The sequence below is a fragment of the Homo sapiens genome, chromosome 4 (assembly GCF_000001405.40).
Source record: "Homo sapiens chromosome 4, GRCh38.p14 Primary Assembly".
Classification (NCBI taxonomy): domain Eukaryota; kingdom Metazoa; phylum Chordata; class Mammalia; order Primates; family Hominidae; genus Homo; species Homo sapiens.
The window spans coordinates 40,111,025-40,136,618 of NC_000004.12; the positions used below are offsets into that span (position 1 = coordinate 40,111,025).

The 25,594-nt window shown below is 37.3% G+C and overlaps 1 protein-coding gene across 12 annotated transcripts in view; it reads left to right on the forward strand.

Annotated features, from left to right (window-relative positions):
* N4BP2 (NEDD4 binding protein 2) overlaps nt 1-25,594 on the forward strand; it is a 133,621-nt gene that overhangs the window by 54,175 nt on the left and 53,852 nt on the right. For all 12 annotated transcript variants that reach the window (XR_007057942.1, NM_001318359.2, NM_018177.6 and 9 more), the window contains 8 exons: nt 1,060-1,148; nt 2,408-2,484; nt 6,845-7,000; nt 8,908-11,285; nt 12,103-12,188; nt 13,136-13,181; nt 15,110-15,306; nt 20,777-20,895. Coding sequence is in view for 11 of the 12 variants with exons in the window: in NM_001318359.2 (NP_001305288.1) it covers nt 1,060-1,148; nt 2,408-2,484; nt 6,845-7,000; nt 8,908-11,285; nt 12,103-12,188; nt 13,136-13,181; nt 15,110-15,306; nt 20,777-20,895 (3,148 nt within the window). In the remaining variant the exon portion in view is untranslated. The remainder of the gene's footprint in view (nt 1-1,059; nt 1,149-2,407; nt 2,485-6,844; nt 7,001-8,907; nt 11,286-12,102; nt 12,189-13,135; nt 13,182-15,109; nt 15,307-20,776; nt 20,896-25,594) is intronic.

Sequence of the window (25,594 nt, forward strand, 5' to 3'; positions counted from 1 at the left end):
ATAATGTTTTCTTTATTTCAGATCATTACATTGTGTGTGTGTATATTTGTCCATTTGTTTTTGTTGTTTGTTTTTAAACTTTATTTTTGAATATTAGATATATGGAAAAGTTGCAGAGATACTATGGAAAGCTTCTGTATACCCTTCACTCATTTATCCTTCATGTTAACATCTAATATAACGAGGATACATTTGTCAAAACTAAGAAATTGGTTTATTATTATTAACTAAACTCAAGACTATAGTTTGATTTTAATTTTTCTACTCAAGGTCTTTCTCTCTTACTTGACAGTCTTAATATGTGGGGTTTTTTTGAGACGGAGTCTTACTCTGTCACCCAGGCTGGAGTACAATGGCGTGGTCTCAGCTCACTGCAACCTCCGCATACCGGGTTCAAGTGATTCTGCTGTCTCAGCCTCCCAAGTAGTTGGGACTACAGGTGCGTGCCACCACACCTGGCTAATTTTTGTATTTTTAGTGGAGACGGGGTTTCAATATGTTGGCCAGGTTGGTCTCGAACTCCTGACCTCATGATCCGCCTGACTTGGCCTCCCAAAGTGCTGGGATTACAGGCATGAGCCACCGCGCCCGGCCTTGTTTTGTATTTTTTAGGCAGAGTCTTACTCTGTTGCCCAGGCTGGAGTGCAGTGGCCTGATCTTGGCTCACTGCAACATCTGCCTCCTGGTTTCAAGTGATTCTCTTACCTCAGCCTCCTGAGTAGCTGGGACTACAGGTGGGCACCACCACACCCAAATAATTTTTGTATTTTTAGTAGAGATGGGCTTTCACCATGTTGGCCAGGCTGGTCTTGAACTCCTGGCCTCAAGTGGTCTGCCCGCTTTGGCTTCCCAAAGTGCTGGGATTATGGGCATGAGCCACCATGCCCAGCCAACCCATACTTACTTAATTTTTATGTCCTCAAAGGGATATTTAGAAGTTGAGCAGTGAGTAAAATTAGCACATCATGATTTTCAAATTATGAAAAGATCAGATTTTTTGAAAATCATAATACTTAGTATTGTTTAAAAAATGATTTTTAATTATGTTATGTTTTTCAGCAAAAGAAGCATTTGAGAAGAAGATATCTCCTATAATTATAGATAATACAAACCTACAGGCATGGGAAATGAAACCATATGTTGCTTTGGTTAGTACCATAAGTTGTCATAAGTTTATAACAGTTTGTATGCAATTATTGGGGAACATTAATTATGAAAGTGAATCTGAAGCACTTAAGAATCTCAGAACCTTGGATAGTCTGTAAATGAGCTTTCATTGGTGTTCAGCAAAATGAGGAAATTAGGCCATTTAGCTGAGTTTTTCCATAAAGTTAAAGTTTTAAATTCTGAAATTCAATTTTTGAACTCTAAGATTGTTTTGTTTTTTGGGGTCTTTTATGAAAAGGTAGTGGTACTAAATTATAATTTTATTTTTTTGTTTGTACCTATGTTATATATATTTATTTCCTTTTCCTCATACTTGGCAGAATCAAAATTTGTTGGTCCTTTGTTTTTCCCTAAATTTCTTTTGAAATTTTGCTGTTCTGAGAAATTCAGCATTCTGTAAACTCAGCTATTTTCTCTGAATTTGCCAGATTTCTTTTAATGTTTAAGTCCTTTGCCTTTACCTGACCTATACCTAATCCTCTTCTTGCCCTTCTTGCTCTTTTTTGCTCACCTTTTTTTTTTTGTTGTTGAGATGGAGTTTTGCTCTTGTTGCCCACGCTGGAGGGCAGTGGCGTGATCTCGGCTTACTGCAACCTCTGCCTCCTGGGTTCAATCGATTCTCCTGCCTCAGAAACTGAGAAACTGGGATTACAGGTGCCCGCCACCACGCCCAGCTAATTGTTTGTATTTTTAGTATAGACAGGATTTCACCATGGTGGCCAGGCTGGTCTTGAACTCCTGACCTCAGTTAATCCACCAACCTCGGCCTCTCAAAGTGTTGGGATTACAGGCGTGAGCCACCATGTCCGGCCGAAAATTCTTTATCTTCCTTTCTTAACATTTTTTTAAAGAACATTCTGTCATTAGCACATGTAGAATTTAAATATTACTGTGTAGTATTTTCATCTTGTGGTTATGCCTTCACTTATTTAGTCAGTTCTATATTAATAGCCATGTAGTTATTTGTATCCTTTTGCTGTTACAAATACTGGAAAACTGGCTATCCTGGCATATATCTAATGTATGTATTATATAAATAAATGCTCTTATATAAGTATTTATCAGTAGCTAAATTTCTAATAGTTAATTGCTGGGTTAAAGTGATTGTATATTTTGCCATTTTAACACACTCATCAAGATTAGATAATCTTTACGTTTTACATGCTATATATTTGGAAACAATAATTTTAATTTCTTGGAAATACCTATTTTAAAATGTTTTTGTCTTTGTTGTATGTAGTCTCAGAAACACAAATATAAAGTCCTTTTTCGGGAACCAGACACATGGTGGAAGTTTAAACCAAAGGAACTTGCAAGGTAAAACTTGGAGGCTACCTAACATGCTTTTTATGTAACGACAGACAGACAAGGTCCGTTTAGATTTTTCCCCTTGTAAATGATGAATGAATTGATTAGATTGTAACTTAATTTCTATTGCTTACGGCTTTTTGTCCAGTTTTATGAAGAGTTTCTTTGTGTTTCTAAAATTGAGTTAATTTACGGTAAAAATTCCCCTTGTATTATATACTCAGTATCTTACTACCTTTTTTGAGTTTTATTTATTCGTTTATTTATTTAAATATAGAGACAGGGTCTTGCCATGTTACCCAGGCTGGTCTTGAACTCCTGGCCTCAAGCGATCCTCCTGCCTCTGCCTCCCAAAGTGCTGGGACCACAGGTGTGAGCCACCATGCCCAGCCTGTACTTTATTACTTTGAATCATATGTTAATATCTAAAGCTAGAACAGACCCTAGGATTTGGCACACCTGAACTATGTGCTACTGGGAGGGGCGAATTGTCGTAGCTGCTTAGTGATTTAGAGCACTGGAAGGTAGTACGGATATAGAGATGGAAAAGGTAGCAAATATCCAGCTGTCCAGATATCTCACTCCATGCCTGCCTCCCACTATGGCTATACTTTTTTCTTTATTGAGTTGCTTGACTTGAATAAAAATGTTAGTCAAGGCATGGATGTACAGTTTGTTTTGCTTTGTGTTCTATACTTCCATAGAGATAGCCCTAACTTCATTTTGGTTAGGCTATTTTTTTTTTCTTGGCAATTTCAACTAACTTTAGTACTAAAGGACAACCTAATTTTAGTATATTCACAGTGTTGTGTGATCATCACCCCTATGTAATTTCAGAACTTTTCCATTTCCTCCAAAGAAGCCCTATGCCTACAAGCAGTTACTCTAGTTCCCCCCTCCTCTTGGCAACCACTAATGTGTGTTCTGTATTTATGGGTTTTCCTGTTGCGTATACTGCATATAAATGGAACATACAATATGTGGCTGTTTGTGTCTGGCATCTTTTCACTTAGCTTAATGTTTTTAAGGCTCATCCATGTTGTAGCATGTGTCACTACTTCCTTTTCATTTCCTTTTGATAGATTACTGAGTTTGGTTTTCTGATATTTCATTTAGGATTTTTGCATCTTTATAAATAAATGAGATTGACCTACAGTTTTTTTATTCCTTGACTTGTCTTGCCTGACAGGGATATCATAGTTTTAGGATCATGAAATTAATTGGGAAGTATCTCCTCTTTTCTTCTTTTCTAGGTTTATCTAAGTTTGAATGTTAGAATTTACTTTAAAAATTCTTTGGATCTGATGTTTTCTTTGTGAGAATGTTTAGTTGGAATTTTTCCGTTATAGCAACGTTTCCAAATTTATTAAGACTATTAAAGCAATTATAGTAGTCTCTTACTATTTACACATCTACTGTGTTAGCAGTTAAGTTCCCTCCTGCAATCTTAGTATGTTTATATTATCTTCCTTCTTTTTTCTTTGTTATTCTCATCAGAGATCAGATTAGCCTTTTCAGATAAACAAGTCTCAGCTTTATTTGAACTCCATCGTAAGTTTTCTAATGTTTAATTAATTTCTGCTTCTCATTATTCTACCTTTATTGCTTTCAAAAATCAATTTTGCTTTTTTTATTCTCTTGTGTTTTAAACTTCTCTACTTGAAGGTTTAGGTCATTTTCTAATATGACATTTGATGTTAAAATTTCCCTATGTATGCCAGGTGTGGTGGCTCCTGCCTGTGATCCCAGTACTTTGGGAAGCTGAAGCAGGAGGATTTCTTGAGCCCAGGAGTTTGAGACTAGTCTGGGCAACAGAGTGGGACCCTGACTCTACAAAAAATAAAAAAATTAGCTGGGTATGGTGGCGTTCGCCTGTGGTCCCAGGTACTCGGATGCTGAGGTGGCAGGATTGCTGTAGCCTGGGAGGTCGAGGCTGTGATGAACTGTGATTGTGCCATTGCACTCCAGCCTAGGCAACAGAGCGAGACTCTGTCTCCCAATAAAATAAAATTTTCATATGTATTATTTTAGCTGCTCTCAGAATTTTAATATATAATACTTTATTTTTGTCTTATTTAGTTATTTTCTAGTTTGCATTATGATTAATTTCATTCTTTAACTCTTGGGTTATGTCGTACTGTGTTTTTAAATTTCTGAACAGATGAGTGTTTTGTCTTTTATAAAAATTGGTTTTCAACTTAACTACAGTAGGTCAGGTTGTGTAGTTTGTATGATTCACTGACATTTATAAGATTTTTTTGGCCTAGTTAAGTGTTGATTTTTTATACATTTCATATTTGCTTGATAAGAATGTACATGATTACAATGTGTTAATATATCCATTAAATCATGCTTATTGTTACTCATATCTCCTGTATTTGAGAGATGAATGTTGAAATCTCCCTTTATTATGTTGAACTTGTGGTTTCTCCTTATAATTCTGCCTATGTTTGCTTTACATATTTGGAGGGTAGTTTTTGAAATGTATACAAGCTTAAGATTTTTATATCACCCTAATTAATTGAACCTTTTATTATTTTCTAGTGATTTTCTTTTGTCTTTAGTAGTGATTTTTGTTGTAAAGTGTAATTTGTCTAATATTGATAGACCTACATCAGCTTCCTTTTAGTTAGTATTTGTTACTTCTTTTTTCATACTTTTACTTTGAATATTTTTATGTTCGATGTATCTCTTGTAAGCATGATGGCTGGATTTTTTGAAATCCACTCTGTCCACCTTGACTTTTAACTGATAAACTTAGTTCTTTTATGGTTATTTTGGTTATTCATATAATTGATCTTGTTTCTTAGAATTATTCATATAATTGATCTTGTCTCATTCTGTGCTTTTTGTTTATCTCGCCTTTTCTGTGATTGTTCTTCTATTATAGAAAATGATGTAGTTGGATTTTTTTCCTATCATGCCTTATTTAAAATTTTTAAAATTGTTTCCAAATTTTTGTATTAAATTTTTTTCTTCTCTACTAATTTGGAAATTGTGCAGACTTTAAATCTAAAGTCAAACCATTTTCTTGGCTTTCCTCCTCACGCATACGAAGACTTTAAAACATTTTAATTCTGACACTTGCCTCCCTCTCAATTTACATGCTCTCATTGTCCAGAATATACAGGTAGTGTTTATTTTCACTTATTCATCTAGTTATTGCTTTCTGCTTCATTTTTTTCTTGCATCATATACCTTTCATCTGGGAATTGCCTTCTGCCTGATGTTCATCTTTGAGAATTTTCTTTATAGTAAGGGTCTGCTTGGTGTCAAATTCTTTTTTTAAAATCTGCAGATCTTTTTATTGCCCTCATTCTTGTAAGATACTTTTGCTGGATATGTATATTCTATACTGACAGTTATTTTCTGTTGTTGAAGATAACACTTCACTCCCTTCTGACTTACATTATTATTGTTGTTAAGTCAGCTGTCATTCTAATTGTTTCTTTGTAGATAACTAGTTTTAAAATGATTTTTTAAAATTTCTGGTTGCTTTTAATATCATCTCTTTGTCTTTGGTGAATGACAATTTCAGTACTATGTTTCTAGTTATGGATTTCTTATTTTTTTATCTTGTTTGGCATTTGTTGGCTTCTGAAATTAAGGGATTGGTGTTTTTCATCAGTTCTGGAAAATTCTCAGCATTTTTCTTTACATTGCTTCCGTCCCATGCATTCTCTTCTCTTTCCGGGACTTAGATTAGATGTATACTAGAACTTTTGGCTCTGGCTCCTATGACCCTTAACCTCTCTTTCATATTTTCTATCTCTTTGCTTCTCTGTGATCTGAAACCAGACAAGATCGAGGTAGGTAAATATGAAAGCCAGATTTGCCCAACTGGCAAATGCATATATTATCCCTGGGATCCAGTCACAAAGCCTTGAATTCAACCCAAGACAGGAAAGTTGCAATTGAGATGTTTTCATTAAGACCAAACCTTTGAGGGGCTAAAGCATAACATCTGGCCTCCTGGCAGGTATAAACCTAGATGCTGTGTGAAAGTACTCCGAGTTGAAGGCCTCAGAATTCTCATATATTAAGTTCAACCAAATATGAGCTTATAATAAAAAACATTTTTGAAAAAGGCACTATGAGTGAAAACACAAACAACTAACTTCATATTTGAACATCTAGAAACTTCAAATACTAGAATTTTTTTTCTTTGTTTGAACTTAAGTGTATAATTTAAGAAATCCTTAATAAAATGAAAATTAGAATCAAATTGTATATATTGTGGTCACAATAAAGCAGCTTTGATATTCGTATCTATTAGAAATATATTATTGTTTTCCTAGACATATGTTCTGATTTTTAAAAACTTAATTATCAATATTCCTTCAACCCTTTTTTCCCCTGGAATTTTCAGGCGTAACATTCATGGGGTAAGCAAAGAAAAAATAACAAGAATGTTGGAACATTATCAACGTTTTGTTTCAGTGCCAATAATTATGAGTTCTTCGGTTCCAGAGAAAATTGAACGTATTGAGTTGTGTGCATATTCTTGTGAGGATAGAAGCACTAGGTAGGTTAAAATGCCTTATGTACAAAATTCAATTTGAAATATAATTTTTAAAAGGTATAATTTTGGAGCTTGTGGAATCATTGCTGATAAACTTTAAAAATAAGGTGGACTTGGCTGGGTGTGGTGGCTCACACCTGTAATCCCAGCAGTTTGGGAGGCCGAGGCAGGTGGATCACCTGAGGTCAGGAGTTCGAGACCAGCCTGACCAACATGGAGAAACCCGTCTCCACTAAAAGTACAAAATTAGCCTGGCTGGTGGCGCATGCCTGCAATCTCAGCTGCTTGGGAGGCTGAGGTAGGAGAATTGCTTGAACCCTGGAGGCAGAGGTTGCGGTGAGCTGAGGTTGCGGTGAGCCGAGATTGCGCCATTGCATTCCACCCTGGGCAACAAGAGCAAAACTCCATTTCAAAAAATAAATAAATAAATAAGGTGGACTTTTGTTATTTTTAAGGATTTACTTATAGTCTTACCTAGGGTGGGATATATGTAGTTATCAAGAGAAGTACAAGTTCATATGAGAGATGACATGACAGTTCTTTTATTGTCCTCAGAGTTTTGTGAGTCCGTGATTATGCTATGAATTCTCCTGCCAGTTTTACTTGACGCTCGCTGCTAATCCAGTATTTCCCTTATCTTCTCGCTGTTATTATTTTGTATCCACTCAAATCACTTCTTAATTTCCTTAAGTTTTAATGAAAATACTCTTTCAAGCTAGTGTTATAAAAATTATTAACAGTACACTTTTACCAAGTAATACAAGTCATGGCCTTCTGACAATTTGCAATCCAAGGTAGCACTGATTCTGTTTAGCAACGAAGACACATAAACAATTGAATAAATAAAAACAGCATTAACTGACAGACAGAGTAAAGAAGAAACCACAGGTCTGAATTATCCATATGTTTTGATGGTAAGGGATAGAGAGCTTCTGTTAAAAAGGAGTTGGGAATGGGGAAGAGAAAATTTATAAATGCTTTTTTGATTGAGAAACAGTGTTGCAAAGTGGTTAAGAGCATGGACTCTTGAGCTATATTTCCTGGGTTCAAAAAGTCCCAAAGCTTTGTCATCTCTGACAAGTTACAAATCTTTCTGTACTTCAGCTCTTCATTTCTAAAATGCCAGTAATAACACTCTGCTCATAAAAATCTTATAAGGATTATGAATTAGTACATGCAAGGGACTTAAAGTAGCATCATCTAACACATAGAAAACTCAGCGTTAGGTATGATTTCACTTAGGAAGGCATCCTGCGAGAGTTGGGACTTCGAGCACTCCTGAAGTTAAAAAAAAGAGGAAATGCATTGACAAATTTAATCGAGAAAAATTAACTAAAGTTGAGAGTATAATGATTTGCACAAGTGCTCTGAGTCTGAAATTAACATTAAGTATGGCTTTAAAAAATCTTACCAAATGACATTTCAAATGAAAGCTCTTTTTTTCTAATTTCTCTTAATCGGGCAAATAGCGTTGGTTGGCCCTTTGTGACTTTGTAAATGAAGCTTCCTCGGTATCAGACCTATTTTACATATGCTTAGCTATGTAAAACTAAGGTCAGAAAGAAGCTAGAAAAGTGGTGTCCTCTCCTGGGAACAAATTCAGAGCTTTAACTTTAATGCATAATTAACACCTAAACTGAAAATCTCATATGTACTATTCAATTAAAAAAAAAGTTTGAGTGCTTCATATATGCCAAGCATCATGCTAGGTAATGGGGTTACAACAATGTAATGTGTTCATAGGGTATTAGAGAAAGATCAGAATTAGCTTTTATAATTTTAATGTAATTTATTTATAAAATTTTCAGAATAACTGTTAAGTGCCCTGTCAATTAATGCTTCTTTAAATCATAGTATTGATGGCAGCATTAAGAGACTTTCTCATGATACTCTTTAAAATAATCTTACAGCCCAAGAGACGATGAAGATATTATCTCTGAAAAAGAAGAAAATATTTTATCTTTATCTTTGAAGCATCTAGAGTTCACTGAAGAGAAGAATCTTGATGTAACCAAAGAAACAATGTTACCTGAGAATGTTGCATATCTCTCTAATGCAGATTTAAACAAAAGAAGAAAAGAAATAAGTGATATGAATCCTAGCATTCAAAGTGCTTTAATTCTGGAAACTCCACACATGTATTTTTCTGACTCTGAAAGCAAACTACAGGCAACAGACAAAAGTGAAAACGAGCAAATAGAAATGGTGGCTGTAAAAGGGTATAGTAAAACTGACACAGATAGTTCTATGGAGAGAGTATCACCTAGTACTTGCTGTAGTGAAAATAATCAAGAAGACTGTGATCTTGCAAATAGTGGACCACTTCAAAATGAAAAATCCTCACCTGGTGAAATAGTGGAAGAAAGAGCAACAGTAACGAAAAAAGCCTTTGGGAAACAAAAAAGCAAATCGACTTTGGAAAAGTTCCCAAGACATGAGCTATCAAATTTTGTTGGTGACTGGCCAGTTGATAAGACTATTGGTCAGAGGACAAAAAGGAACAGAAAAACTGAAAAAACTTCATCCGTACAAAGCGACAAAAAGTATAATTACCCTCAGTCACACAAATTAGTTAACAGTGTATCTGTGAATACAGATTGTGTCCAGCAACGAGGATCTCCACATGAAAGTGTAGAGGATGGCAGAAAGTCACAGTGTGATGATGCTTCAGAGCCACTCAATAGCTATAAATATGATGCTTATAAAAATATTGACAAAAACTCATTCAACATTATGGGTGACTGGCCTTCATCTGATTCTTTAGCTCAGAGGGAACACAGATCAAGAATGCCAAAGACTGGTTTAAGTGAGCCCAACCTAGAAATTGGAACAAATGACAAAATGAATGAAATATCCTTATCTACAGCACATGAGGCCTGTTGGGGCACAAGCTCTCAAAAACTAAAGACATTGGGTAGCTCCAATCTAGGAAGTTCTGAAATGCTGCTCAGTGAAATGACCTGTGAGAGTCAGACTTGTCTAAGTAAAAAGAGTCATGGGCAACACACATCGTTGCCTCTTACTTTTACCAATAGTGCACCAACTGTTTCTGGAGTAGTAGAACCACAAACGTTAGCTGAATGTCAAGAGCAAATGCCTAAGAGAGACCCTGGAAAAGAAGTAGGCATGTGCACCCAGACTGAACCACAGGATTTTGCTCTTTTATGGAAAATAGAAAAGAATAAAATTAGCATTTCAGATTCTATCAAAGTATTAACAGGAAGATTAGATGGATTTAAGCCGAAAGTTTTCAATATTAACACAAAATCAGACGTTCAAGAAGCAATTCCATATAGAGTAATGTATGATAAAAGCACGTTTGTTGAAGAAAGTGAGCTTACCAGTGCAGATGAATCTGAAAATCTTAACATTCTTTGTAAACTGTTTGGATCCTTTTCATTAGAAGCCCTGAAAGACTTATATGAGAGGTGCAATAAAGATATTATTTGGGCCACAAGCCTTTTGTTGGATTCTGAAACTAAGTTATGTGAGGATACAGAGTTTGAGAATTTCCAAAAATCGTGTGATGGATCACAAATTGGGCCTTTTTCTCTGGGGTTGAATTTGAAAGAAATTATTAGCCAAAGAGGAACTTTAGAGAATTCTAATTCTCCTGTGCCAGAGTTTAGCCATGGGATTGGTATTAGTAACGCTGACTCACAGTCTACTTGTGATGCAGAAAGAGGAAACTCAGAGCAGGCGGAAATGAGAGCTGTCACTCCTGAAAACCATGAATCGATGACAAGTATATTTCCCAGTGCTGCTGTGGGTCTAAAGAATAATAATGACATACTTCCTAACAGCCAGGAAGAACTTTTATATAGCAGTAAGCAGTCCTTTCCAGGTATTCTAAAAGCTACTACTCCTAAAGATATGAGTGAAACAGAAAAAAACCTAGTAGTCACAGAGACTGGAGACAACATACATTCTCCTTCACATTTCTCTGATATTTTTAACTTTGTATCTAGTACTTCAAATCTTGAATTAAATGAAGAAATTTATTTTACTGATTCTCTTGAAATAAAGAGAAATGAAAATTTTCCAAAGGATTATGTGAAATTTTCAGATGAAGAAGAATTTATGAATGAAGATGAGAAGGAAATGAAGGAAATTCTAATGGCAGGAAGTAGTTTATCAGCTGGAGTTAGTGGGGAAGATAAAACCGAGATATTGAATCCCACTCCAGCGATGGCCAAATCTCTGACCATAGACTGTCTGGAATTGGCATTACCCCCTGAACTGGCTTTTCAACTTAATGAATTATTTGGTCCTGTTGGTATTGATTCAGGTAAGGAAAAAGTAAATGACCATGTGTGTGTCTTTGTGTGACTAGACTACAGAGGGTTCTATTTTGTATTTTTTTTTTTTCTGAGATGGAGTCTCGCTCTGTTGCCCAGGCTGGAGTGCAGTGCCTCAATCTTGGCTCACTGCAACCTCTGCCTCCCAGGTTCAAGTGATTCTCCTGCCTCAGCCTCCAGAGTAGCTGGGATTATAGGCATGTGCCACCGTACCTGGCTAGAGAGTTCTATTTTGATTGTAAAATTATATTCTATGTTAACTGAAATGCAAAAGTAATTTTATGTTGCCTAACTTCACATAGTGCCTTATTTTTGACACATTTCTGGAGGACTTTAAAAAATACAATAGGAAGAAATAGAGAATATTTATATGGAGTTTGTATTTATCCCATACATAGTTTGAACGTTTTCTCTGGTATTTACTTCACACTTAATTGTACGGATGAACCTTTTAAAATCCTTTGGTGCTACTCCAGATACATTTAAGACAAGATTAATTTTTTAGAACATATTTATTGAAAAGTCTTGACTAATAGAAATGAATAAAGTAAACATATTTAGACTCATGGAAAGGAATAACTTAGATTTACTGTGAAGCTTTGTATAACTGCAGTAGTCAAGAAGTGTGAAGACAGTAACATAGCATATAACATAAATAGAAATACTCTAAGATTTAGTAAATAGAAGCATAAGTTAGGAATTAATAGTACAAGTTAGTTTTGTGATGCATAAGGTGGTTTAGTATGTTTTCTGCAAATATATAATGAGTAATGATTACATTTTCTTCCCTCCCCCTTCCCCCACAAGGGTCTCTAACAGTTGAAGATTGTGTGGTTCATATAGATCTGAATCTGGCGAAAGTGATTCATGAGAAATGGAAAGAATCTGTAATGGTTGGTAGGCTTCTTTTTATAAAGAGCTCCTTTTTTGTCCATTTTGAACCTTTGAATTTCAGTGAAATCTACCACATAATATTAAGGAGTTCTATTGAATTTTGGCTTTGAGATGGAAGAGTTCTATTGAATTTTGACTTTGAGAGAGAATGAACTTGTACCATTTAACAGATTACTGTCTTTTTTTTTCTCTCTTTTCAGTAGTTTAAGTATTTCCAGACAGCCAAATTATATAATTAGCGATGGAGCTCATTGTAATTGTTGATTTTTTTTATATCTTTTTTCTATTTTAGAGACAGTGTCTAGCTCTGTTGCCCTGGTTGAGTGCAGTGGCACAATCATAGCTCACTGCAGCCTTGAACTACTGGGCACATGATCCTCCTGCCTTAGCCTCCAGAGTAGGTAGGACTATACAGGTGCCTGCCACCACACCTAGGTAATTTTTTTTTTTTTGTAGAGGCAAGGTCTCACTATGTTGCCCAGGTTGGTTTTGAATTCCTGGCTTTAAGTGATCCTCCTGCCTTGGCCTCCCAAAGTGTTGGGATTATAGGCATGAGCCACTGTGCCTGACCTGTTTTTTTTTTAAGAAAATAATTATAAACAGTGAGTTTTTCACTCCCAGAATTAAAGACTTCAATGCTGATTGGTTAAATTTCAAAGACAGTTCTTAATTTATTTAAAAATTTTTTTCAGACCATTCTTCATAACAAGAAATTTTTTTTTTTAAATGCAGTATTTTTACCATTCTAGAAGTGGAAAAAATATGTAGCTGTAGTCATACTTCATAATTTTTATTATCTAACTTTATTGTTTTACTTAGATTGAGTAAGAATGGTTTACAGTTATACAAGGAGAAATGATTTCTAGAGAAAAATAATATAACCTTGTATCCTTGTTTACTAATGCACTCCCTGTTTGCCAATCTCTTGCCTGGCTTTTGTGTTTAGGAGCGACAAAGACAAGAAGAGGTGTCTTGTGGCAAGTTTATGCAAGGTAAAGCACATGTTTTTATTTCTAATGTCTTAATGTTGAAATTTGGTGTGTGTGTTTGAATTTTAACTCATTCTAAATTACTTCCACAAAATACGGTACCCACAAATTTTGATTTGCAAATAAAAGTTTTATTTATTTATTTATTTATTTTTTTATTTAGAGATGGAGTCTTGCTCTGTCGCCCAGGCTAGAGTGCAGTGGTGCCATTTTGCCTTACTGCAACCTCTGCCTCCTGGGTTCAAGCAATTCTCCTGCCTCAGCCTCCCAAGTAGCTGGGACTACAGGTGCGCACCACCACACCTGGCTAATTTTTGTATTTTTAGTAGAGACGGGGTTTCACCATATTGGTCAGGCTGGTCTTGAACTCCTGACCTCAGGTGATCTGCCCACCTTGGCCTCCCAAAGTCCTGGGGTTACAGGCATGAGCCACTGCGCCCAGCCAGTTCTTTAAAAATATTTAATATTTTATTGATATGAAATAAAATAAAACTTAAAGGGGGAAAAAGCCCCTATAATGTATATTGAACTTTCATGAGTGCTGTGGAACACCTAGGGTATGCTCTCAAAGCATTTCCTGTTGAGGTTTTGCTCTGCATGAAAGAAAACTTTTGGTTTGAGAGCAACAGAGTGTTCATGTGTTTGATCAAGAACATCATTGAAATATTACTTGGTTATTCAAAGTTTTTATTGATGTCAGTATTGTTAGACCACAAAACCCAGCCTGCTTTTTGGTACATCCTGCCAACTTGAAAATATTTGATTCCAGATGACTTCTCTTAGATAGTGTTGTCTTCAGTGACTGTTGCAGGGTGGCAGACCTGTTATTAAGCATCCTCCTTTTGTGCCTGAGTTCCTCCACATGCCTCTGTTGTCCAGTCCACACTGGGACCAAGGCAAGGAGTTTCACCTTGAAGATTCTTAGGATCCACTTTGGTCCAGACCTGTGCTCATGTCATAGCCTCAAGAGCTACAGCTGATGTAGGGATAGAGGTGCCCAAAGGATGGTGTGCAAATGCCAGTGTCTATTGTTTCTTCACTCTCTAGGACAGCAGAGGAATGTATCAGAATGTGTTGATACTCCTCTGAGAAGTTGAAATGTTACACATTAAATTCTGTTGTTGTGAACTTCCTAGAATGTTCAGTTCCTTATTTTGAATATCATTTGCCCACTCTTTATTGTGTGCCTTCACTGAGTTACAGGTTTGCCAAAGTAATCGATCTTCTTGGTCCTTAGAATGGGTGGCCAGAGCAGACTGTAGCTGTTATGGTTGCTCACTTCCAGCTGGCTACAACTTCCTCTATTTACCAGTGTCCTGTATACATGTCACTATGTTTTGGGTTGATATGATATGAAAAAGAGTGGGAAGCATTGAGTCAGTTTAAAATTATACACAGCCTGGCCGGGTGCGGTGGCTCACGCCTGTAATCCCAGCACGTTGGGAGGCCAAGGCGGGCGGATCACCTGAGGTCAGGAGTTCAAGACCAGCCTGGCCAACATGGTGAAACCCCCGTCTCTACTAAAAATACAAAAACTAGCCAGGCATGGTGGCGGGCGCCTGTAATCCCAGCTACTTCGGAGGCTGAGGCAGGAGAATTGCTTGAACCTGGGAGGCGGAGGTTGCAGTGAGCCGAGACTGCGCCATTGCACTCCAGCCTGGGCGACAGAGCAAGACTCCGTCTCAAAAAAAAAAAAAAAAAAAATTATACACAGATCATTACTCTTTTAAAATATTGCTACATTAACACATACTATTTCTTACTTGCGATGACGTGAAGATGTATTTTACAATTTCAGAGTTGTGTTATATTTACAAACTGAAAATTAAAAAACTGTTTCCTTGGTCTCTGAGGTAAATATAACAGAGTGAATAATGTTTAATTTATACATTTATTGTTGAGAGTATGACAGTATTTATACTACTTTGTAGATCCTTCCTTGGTTGGACATACTGGGCTTGATAATCCTGAACAAAAATCATCTCAGAGAACAGGCAAAAAATTACTGAAGACTTTAACAGCATCTGAAATGCTACCTTTATTGGATCATTGGAATACTCAAACTAAAAAAGTATCACTCAGAGAAATAATGTCAGAAGAAATTGCCTTACAGGAAAAACATAATTTGGTATGAATTAATATAAATATTAAGCTACTGTCTCTGATTCTGGTTTATTGTGTATGTTTACTTTGTGATTTTTTCAAAGTATTTTCTAGTCTAGAATCCATATTTAACCTGATTGAATTTAATGTTAAAATTGAAAAATATTTTAAGTATAATTTGAAGCTGGAGGTTTTTGCTTCAGGGAAATTAGTTAATACTCAACTATAAGCCATCCATGTTAAGTTTGTGTTGTTTTAGATTTAACTGTATAGGTGATTGAGCTGCATCTTTCTTTTTCTTTACCTTTTTTTTTCTTGATACATCGTCTTGGCTCTGTTGCCCACACTAGACTACAGTGGCGTGATCACAGCTCATGGAAGCCTTGACCTCCAGGGCTCAAGTGATCCTCCCACCTCAGCCTCCTGAGTAACAGGGACTACCATGCCTGGGTATTTTTATTTTATTTTTGGAGATGGAGTCTCGCTCTGTTGCCCAGGCTGGAGTACAGTGGTGTAATCTTGGCTCACTGCAACCTCCATCTTTCGGGTTCAAACGATTCTCCTGCCTCAGCCTCCCAAGAATCAGGGACAACAGATGTGTGCCACCATGCCTGGCTAATTTTTAGTAATTTTAGTAGAGACAGGGTTTCACCATGTTGGCCAGGCTGGTCTCAAACTCCTGACCTCAAGTGAGCCACCTGCCTTAGCCTCCTAAAGTGCTGGGATTACATGCATGAGCCACCATGCCCACGAATTTTTGAATTTATTATAGAGACAGTTTTGCCATGTTGCCCAGGCTGGTCTCGAGTTCTGGGGTCAGTGATTCACCTGCCTTGCCCTCCCAAAATGCTGGAATTAAAGGCATGAGCCACTGTGCCTGACCGGCTGCATCTTCTTCTTCTTTTTTTCTTTTTTTTAATTTTATTTGTTTGAAACAGGGTCTTGCTCTGTTGCCCAGGCTGGAGTGCAATGGTACAATAAGGCTCACTGCAGCCTCAACCTCCTGGGTTTAAGTGAGCCTCCTGTCTTAGACTCCCAAGTAGGTGGAACCACAGGCATGTGCCACCATGCCTGGCTACTTTTATTTTTTGTAGAGATGGGGTCTTGCCATGTTGCCCAAGCTGGTCTTACACTCCTGGGCTCAAGTGATCCTCCTGCCTCAGCTTCCCAAAGTGCTGGGATTATCAACATGAACCACCATGCCCAGCCAGCTGCATCTTTTTCAGCTTTTAATATTTACCTCTATTTTTTTATTTCTATAAAAACATGAAGGAAATCTTATTTAAAGATAATTATATATATTAGTAATAAGAAATGTCTATCTTACTATTAAAGATGTCTATCTCTGAGAAAATATATATATATATTTTTTTGAGATGGAGTCTCGCTCTGTCGCCCAGGCTGGAGTGCAGTGGTGCGATCTTGGCTCGCTGCATGCTCCGTCTCCCGGGTTCATGCCATTCTCCTGCTTCAGCCTCCTGAGTATCTGGAACTACAGGTGCCTGCCACCGCGCCCGGCTAATTTTTTGTATTTTTTAGTAGAGACGGGGTTTCACCGTGTTAGCCAGGATGGTCTTGATCTCCTGACCTTGTGATCCACCTGCCTCGGCCTCCCAGAGTGCTGGGATTACAGGCGTGAGCCGCCATTCCTGGCCAAAACAAAATATTTTAGAGAAAAATTTTAGAAACTTATGAGTTTGAATTAAAAAAATTACTCTTCCTTTTCAAATAGAAGCTTCACTTTGAATTTTATTTTTGGTCTTTATTTCAAAATATCTAAATATATGAAGCCATACTTGCAGTAGATTTCGTTTGGATTTCGTCTTACTCTTTTCTGGAATTCTGAAAATTAGTATTAAAGAATTCCAGGTCAAAAGGGAAAACATCTTAGAGGTTATTTAGTCTAATTCTCAAGGGAAAAGAATAATTCTTAGATGGTGTTCTTAAAACATTTTAACACTTTCTTATTCGTTTGACTGCACAAAGGAGCACCTTTATATTTGGCTGTAATACATCCAGTTAAGGCATAGGGATTGCTCTACCTTCATATTTATTTTTTAAATTTATCTTGGTTAACTAAATTAGAAATATACTGCCATTCCCATCTTTGTATCCTAACGCAATCCAAGGAATAACCTCTTCAGTAGATCTTAAAATTTTAGTGTCCTGTCAAATAGCCTCTTCAATTAATATATGTATTAATTTGAGGCAATGAATTTTCTTTCTTCTTTCTGTTTTTTTTTTTTGAGTCTCGTTCTGTCACCCAGGCTGGAGTGCAGTGGTGCGTTCTTGGCACACTGCAACCTCCACCTCCTGGGTTCGAGTGATTCTCCTGCCTCAGCTTCCCAAGTAGCTGGGATTACAGGCATGCGCCACCATACCCAGCTAATTTTTGTAATTTTAGTAGAGACAGGGTTTCACCATGTTGGCCAGGCTGGTCTTGAACTCCTGACCTCAAGTGATTCGGCTTCCCAAAGTGTTGGGATTACAGGCATGAGCCACAGCACCCAGCCAGCAATGGATTTTCTTTAAAAAAAAAATAAATAAATAAAATAAGGAAACTCTAACACTTAGGCTTAAATGGTGTGATACTTTCTATTGAAATGCCATTTTCCACTATTAAAACTTGTCTTTACAGTTCTACCCTCCCTTTAATATCTTGATGTAATAGGTGAACAAATGAGCATCTTTTGACTTCACAACTTACTCCTTTTTTTTGCTATCAGTGATTTTTGCTTGTTTTTCTTTTTCTTTTCTTTTTTTTGAGACACAGTCTGGCTTTGTTACAGGCTGGAGTGCGGTGGCACCATCTCAGCTCACTGCACCTTTGCCTTTTGGGCTCAAGCCATCCTCCCACTTCAGCCTCCCAAGTAGCTGGGACTACAGGTGTGAGTCACGATGCCCTGCTAGTTTTTATTTTGTTTTGTTTTGTTTTTTTTGAGACAGAGTCTCGCTGTGTTGCCCAGGCTGGAGTGCAGTGGCACAGTCTCGGCTCACTGCAACCTCCACTTCCCAGGTTCAAGCGATTCTCCTGCCTCAGCCTCCCAAGTAGCAGGAATTACAGGTGTCTGCTACCACGCCCTGCTAATTTTTGTATTTTTAGAAGAGATGGGGTTTCACCATGTTGGCCAGGCTGGTCTCAAACTCCTGAGCTCAAGCAATTCACCTGCCTCGGCCTCCCAAAGTGCTAGGATTATAGGTATGAGCTACCACACCTGGCCTTTTCTTGTTTTTCTGTAGATTGGGTAATATAATAGAAGCTGGTTGGCTTTGTCCCAAGGATACCCACCTTTACCTTCACATGCAGCCTGAGAAAGATAATTTTTTTCTTTCTTTTTTTTCTCGAATAGAGATGAGGTCTTGCAGTGTTGCCCAGGCTGGTCTCGAACTCCTGGCTTCAAGCAGTCCTTCTACCTTGGCCTCTCAAAGTGCTGGGATTGTAAGTGTAAATGACACTGCACTCAGCCAGATAATTTCCTGATGCTGTCCTCACTCTTTGTCCCCAAAGGAGAAATATACTTTGTATATATTTTTTAAAGCAAAAAATATAACTTTAGACATAATATATGAATAGAATAATTAATTTTAAGATGATTAAGGTTACAAGGTTTTAGTTCATTGATGAAACCTCAGAATTTATAGTTTAGAAACTTTGACCCGATAGATTGGTAGAAAATCTGATGATTGAATTTTTTAGTAAGTTTAGATTACATGCATATCTTAAGTAAAATGTGAAATATTTTAATTTATTTTTTTTTGAGGCTGGGTTTCACTGTGTTGCCCATGCTGGAATGTGCAGTGGCGCAATCTCCTGGGCTCAAGCAATTCTGTCACCTCAGCCCCTCAAGTAGCTGGGACCAGAAGCGCACATCACCACACCTGGCCAAAAATAAAATATATTTTTAGTATAGATGGGGTTTTGCCATGTTGCCCAGGCTGGTCTCGAACTCCTGGGCTCAAGCGATCTGCCCACCTTGGCCTTCCAAAGTGCTAGGATTATAGACATGAGCCACTGCACCCAGCCAGAAATATTTTAAATTCTTCAGGTAGCTTGTTTCCATCACTCTTGTTGTATGTTCAGCTTTATCACTCCTTTTTAGTCATATTGTTACCTCTTGTGGTTCCTCTTTTATTGCTGTTTGGTGTTATAAATGGCCTAAGTATGGTTAAGCTTTAAAATAAATAACAATTCTAGCATTTTCCCAGATTATTTTGTTTATTTATTTTTGATATAGGGTATCACTCTGTTGTCCAGCCTGGAGTGCAGTGACTTCATCTGAGCTCACTCTAGCCTTGACCTCCTGGGCTCAAGCCATCCTCCCACCTCAGCTGGGACTCTTGCCATCACACCTGGCCAGCTTTTAAAAAACAATTTTATGTAGAGATAGGGTCTTGCTGTGTTGCCAGGTTGGTCTTGAACTCTTGGGTTCAAGGAATCCTCCTACCTCAGCTATTGTAATTTTTAAATTTAGGAATTTTCAGTCATTTTATTGCCTTTGAAACTGTATAGGAAGTTATTTTTCAGACATCAGCATTTTTGTAGCAAACAAAATTATTTTGTTATATCACAATGTTTAAGAATATTTATTATCATCTTAGGTTAGAATTAAAATAGCATATTTTTAGGAAAGTTCTTTTTGTCTGACAGTTTAGAGCAGATCCAAATATGAAATGTGAGTAATAATATAATTCTTATACAGTTATTTTGGAGTAAATATATTTGTGAAAAACTGAAAAAAAAAAATTGTGAATTCCAAGATTTCTGTCAATCTGAATTTGCAGCTTGTTTGTACACTGTAGTTTCTGCCCATTGAGGAGAATATGTTTTGAGGACGATGTTCACAGCATCACACAGTGTCACTTTTATGAGGACCCATGGGGAAATTTCTCTCAGGTCTCAGTACCAGAAAAAGCTGTACTTCTGAGCAACTGGTTTGTTTTTATTTTATGGACACTGAGAATCTTTGTTTTCCCCTTTGCTTTGGCCACTAAGAGTCTCAGAACTAAATTTGTGGCCTACTTGTAGCAATTGTACAGGATTTTGTGGCATGCATTTATATACTAATACTGCTAGCCTTAGCTTATATTTTATCTTTATTTTCTCTGACTTCATTTATTTTTATCCTGTTTATGTGTGTGTATGTATATATATGCCTCTATATCTTCATCCTTTTAATGATTCAATGTGTTGGATATGCATGTGTGACAGTATGTGTATATATATTTACATACAGATGCCCACACATACATGTATACATGTGATTGTGTGTGTGTGTGTATATTTATAAGCAACTTCAAATACTTTGCAAAAAATGAGATATAAATAAATAGTGCAAGAGTACTCGTATTACTAATTTCAGCCTTTAATCCGTAAAGAAAGTCTGTGATTGCTTTTAAATCATCAGTAGTTTTGCAACAAGTTAACCATGCCTTTGGTCAGTGTTTCTAGTATTACACATTTCATCTTGAACATGATTTTTATGTTTTTGTTTTAGAAAAGGGAGACCCTTATGTTTGAAAAAGATTGTGCCACTAAACTAAAGGAGAAGCAGCTCTTTAAGATATTTCCAGCCATTAACCAAAATTTTCTGGTGGACATTTTCAAGGACCACAAGTGAGTGCTAGAAGGATTGTCTGTAGTTTCTACTCTGATGTCACTGAAAGCATATGCCATGTTTATTTTTCTGATAACAAAAATAATGTAAGTCTACAGTAGTCTCTCCTAATCTGTGGGTATTATTCCAAGACCCACAGTGGGTGCATGAAACCACGAATATAGCTAAACCCTCTATATACCCTCTATATACTATGTTTTTTTCCTATAAATAAGAATTGATTTACAAATTAGGCACAGTAAAAAATTAACAACTATAACTAACAATAAAATAGAACAATTATAACAATATATTGTAATATAAGTTATGTAAACATGGTCTCTCTCTCTGTGTCTCAAAATACAGTTGTCCTTCAGTATCTGGGAGATTGGTTACAGGACAGAAAATCTTTACCATTATTGTTTCTGAGTTTTATGTTTTATTTAGGGAGTCTGTTATGTCCTAATATTATAAAAATTTTTCTTTATTATTTTAAATGTCTACCTTTTTATGTATGTGGTATGAGGTAGAGATTTATAAATGAGCTAGAGATTTAACTTGTCTTTCCAAATGACTAACCAAATGAATGGATCATCTTTGCCCACTTATATAAAACATAACCAGTAATTCTACATCTCCAAATATATATTTTAAGGACTTTAATTCCATTGAGCTATTTGTTAGATCCTGAGTTGCCACCGTGTTGTTTTAATTATTGTAGTGTTATGTTAGGTATATCAGGAATGCTCTGGTTTGAAAAATACATACTTTTGATCATGTATTTTTCTTAAATTCTTCACAAGAGCTTGTTTTAAATAGGTACTTTTTGAGAATCTTTTGAGAATCTAATATAGATTTTGATCTTTAGTTTATTAATATATTTCATATCAATCACAATAATGGATTTCTGGAATAAAACCTACTTTACTTTCAGATTTTTTTTTTTTCCTTTAATGCAGGTAGGAATTGATTTACTAATTCATTGGTATTTTTACAATAGTAATGAAATGGTGTTGGTCTGTGATTTTTTTTTTTCTGTTCCTGGGCTATTTTTGTCAGATTTTGGTTTCAGTGTTTTATTTGGTGTCAGGCTTAATAAAATAAACTGGCAGCCCGCCATTTTTCCCTCTGCTGTGGAAAGTTTAAAGAACTTAGTACCTTGAAGGTTCTGGGCTTGTACCTTCTCAGAGAGAGAATCTTGGTTTATTGGTCAAAGTCTATTTTATGCTGTCTTATCATTTATTTTTTACTGATATCTTTCTCTTAAAATTTGTTAGTATATTTTCAACTCTGGTTAGTTTATTTCCTTTCAGTCTTTAATAACATACATTTAAGGTATGAATTTTTCTCTATATGTTTTGATTTTGATACATATTTTAATTTTCATTATTTTCTAAATCTCAAATTTTAGTTTGATTTTCTGTTTACCCTGGAATTTCTTTCTCCTTTTTTTTGAAACAGAGTCTCACTTTGTCTCCCAGGCTGGAGTGCAGTGGCACCATCGTGGCTCACTGCAGCCTCCGCCTCCCGGGTTCAAGTGATTCTCCTGCCTCAGCCTCCTAAGTAGCAGGGATTACAGGCGCACACCACTACGCCTGGCTAATTTTTGTATTTTTAGTAGAGACAAGGTTTCACTATGTTGGCCAGGCTGGTCTCGAACTCCTGACCTCAGCTGATCCACCCACCTTGGCCTCCCAAAGTGCTGGGATTACAGGCGTGAGCCACCTCCCCTGGCCAATTTTTAAGGCATATAAAAACATGAGTGAATTTTATGTTTAGACTTGGACCCCATTCCCAAGATACCTCATTATGTATATACAGATATTCCAAAATTTGGAAAGATCTGAAATCTCAGCCACTTCTGATTCCAAGTGTTTCAGATGAGGAGTAGTCAACATATACTTTTTTGTGTGTGTGTGTTTGTGTGAGACAGGATCTTGCTGTTGCCCAGGCTGGAGTGCAGTGGCACGATCTTGGCTCATTGCAGCCTTGACCTCCTAAGCTCAAGTGATCCTCCCACCTCTGCCTCCCAAGTAGCTGGGACTATAGACACGTGCCACCACGCCTGGCTAGTTTTTGTATATTTTTTGTAGAGATGGAGTTTCACCATGTTGCCCAGGCTGGTCTTGAACTCCTGAGCTCAAGGGATTCTTCCCCTATTGGCCTCCCAAAGTTCTGGGATTACAGGTGTGAACCACCGTGCCCAGCCCAGTCTGTACTTAAGAATATTTATTCTCTGCTGAGTGTGCAGAGTTCTAAATATGTCACCTAAATCAAATCTTTAAAAGTAGTATTCCAATCCCTAATTTTCTTATTTATTTTTGCTACCTAACTTGCTATTTTCTGAGAGTTTTGTGTTAAAATCTCCCAGATGCCAGAGGTTGATGCTAGCATATGGCCACTCCTGTTCTATGAGTACCTAGAGCAAGAGGCCTGAGGTGAAATAGCTCAGAGTTGTGCTTCCCCAGGCAAAGGAGGGGGCTGGGTGTGTCCTTCTGGGGATGGTCAGTGATTGGTCAGCCAGGGCCCTCATGTTAGGTGGCTGATTGCCTCCATTTGTCTGCCAACGGCTGGCTGATTCTCTCAGCTAGCAGTAGGTTCAGCTTCATCCTGGTAAGAAGGGTAGGTGAGCTCAGTTACTACAGTATGTGCTTGAGGTGTAATCTTCTAGGGCTGTTTGCCTCAAACAACATCAGGGCTGGAGACTGACTTCCAGCAGGTGAGTGATTTTAAGGCCTAGAAAGGATGTGGATAATTGTTGGTAGCATCCAGCCCCTAATACTGATATCCTTTGTGTTGAGCATATCTGAGGCAGCAAGATGAGAGGGGAAGTGGAACTGGTAGTTGCACATGGCTTCCTTTCAAGGGTTGTCTTTAATAAATTGAAGAATAGCAAAATACCACATTATTTTGGATAATTAGTTTACCAAATTTCTTTCCCTTTTGCTTTCTTGCTTCTTTCTTTCTTTCTCTCTTTCTTCCTTCCTCCCTTCCTTCCTTCCTTTCTCTCTCTCTCTCTCTCTTTCTTTCTTTTTTATTTTATTTTATTTTATTTTTTATTATTATACTTTAAGTTTTAGGGTACATGTGCACAATGTGCAGGTTAGTTACATATGTATACATGTGACATGCTGGTGTGCTGCACCCACTAACTTGTCATCTAGCATTAGGTATATCTCCCAATGCTATCCCTCCCCCCTCCCCCCACCCCACAAGAGTCCCCAGAGTGTGATGTTCCCCTTCCTGTGTCCATGTGTTCTTATTGTTCAATTCCCACCTATGAGTGAGAATATACGGTGTTTGGTTTTTTGTTCTTGCGATAGTTTACTGAGAATGATGATTTCCAATTTCATCCATGTCCCTACAAAGGACATGAACTCATCATTTTTGATGGCTGCATAGTATTCCATGGTGTATATGTGCCACATTTTCTTAATCCAGTCTATCATTGTTGGACATTTGGGTTGGTTCCAAGTCTTTGCTATTGTGAATAGTGCTGCAATAAACATACGTGTGCATGTGTCTTTATAGCAGCATGATTTATAGTCCTTTGGGTATATACCCAGTAATGGGATGGCTGGGTCAAATGGTATTCCTAGTTCTAGATCCCTGAGGAATCGCCACACTGACTTCCACAGTGGTTGAACTAGTTTACAGTCTTTCTTTCTTTCTTTTCTTTCTTTCACAGAGTTTGCTCTTGTTGTTCAGGCTGGAGTGCAGTGGCACCATCTCGGCTCACTGCAACCTCTGCCTCCTGAGTTCAGGCAATTCTCCTGTCTCAGCCTCCCAAGTAGTTGGGATTACAGGCGCCCGCCACCATGCCCGGCTAATTTATTTTTGTATTTTTAGTAGAGACAGGGTTTCACCATGTTGGCCAGGCTGATCTTGAACTCCTGACCTCAGGTGATCCACCTGCCTCGGCCTCCCAAAGTGTTGGGATTACAGGCGTGAGCCACCATGTCTGCCTAGTTAACCAGATTTCAAAAAATATTCGTATATGGTCAGTTCCTCAGTATCTGGCCAATGGAAGAGGTGAGAGACATAAATAGTGTGAAATACTGAGCAGCATATAATTTTTTTGAATGATTTTCTTTAGATATTGGAACGTGAGTGTGTCAGACATTTGTTGATTTGTAGAATTTCATTCTACAGATAATATAGTATCACCGTCAAGATATGACTGAATAATGCAGGGATGAGAGGTAGGGTAGTGCTTAAGTTTTTCTTTTCTGTATCCCTGCTTAGAATTTGACTAAAATCCCATGGTAAAAGTAAATGTAGAATTTGACACAATAAAAATGTCAGCTTAAAGGTCTATTGTCTGTGTTTGATGTTTGAAGGAAACCACATATAAATCCAACAAAGGATTTAAGAAGAATAGGTGATAAAATGAAAGAAAGATTTGTTATGGCTAATCTGCCTGGTATAAAGGATTAGAAATTGAATCTATCTATCTATCTATCTATCTATCTATCTATCTATCTATCTATCTATCTTTTTTTTGAGACAAAGTCTTGCTCTGTCGCCCAGGCTGGAGTGCAGTAGCACCATCTCAGCCCACTGCAACCTCTGCCTTCCGGGTTCAAGCGATTCTCGTGCCTCTCAGCCTCCCGAGTAGCTGGGATTACAGGCGCGCGTCACCACACCCAGCTAATTTTTGGGTTTTTTGTAGAGACGGGGTTTCACCATGTTGGCCAGGCTAGTCTCTTAACTCCTGAC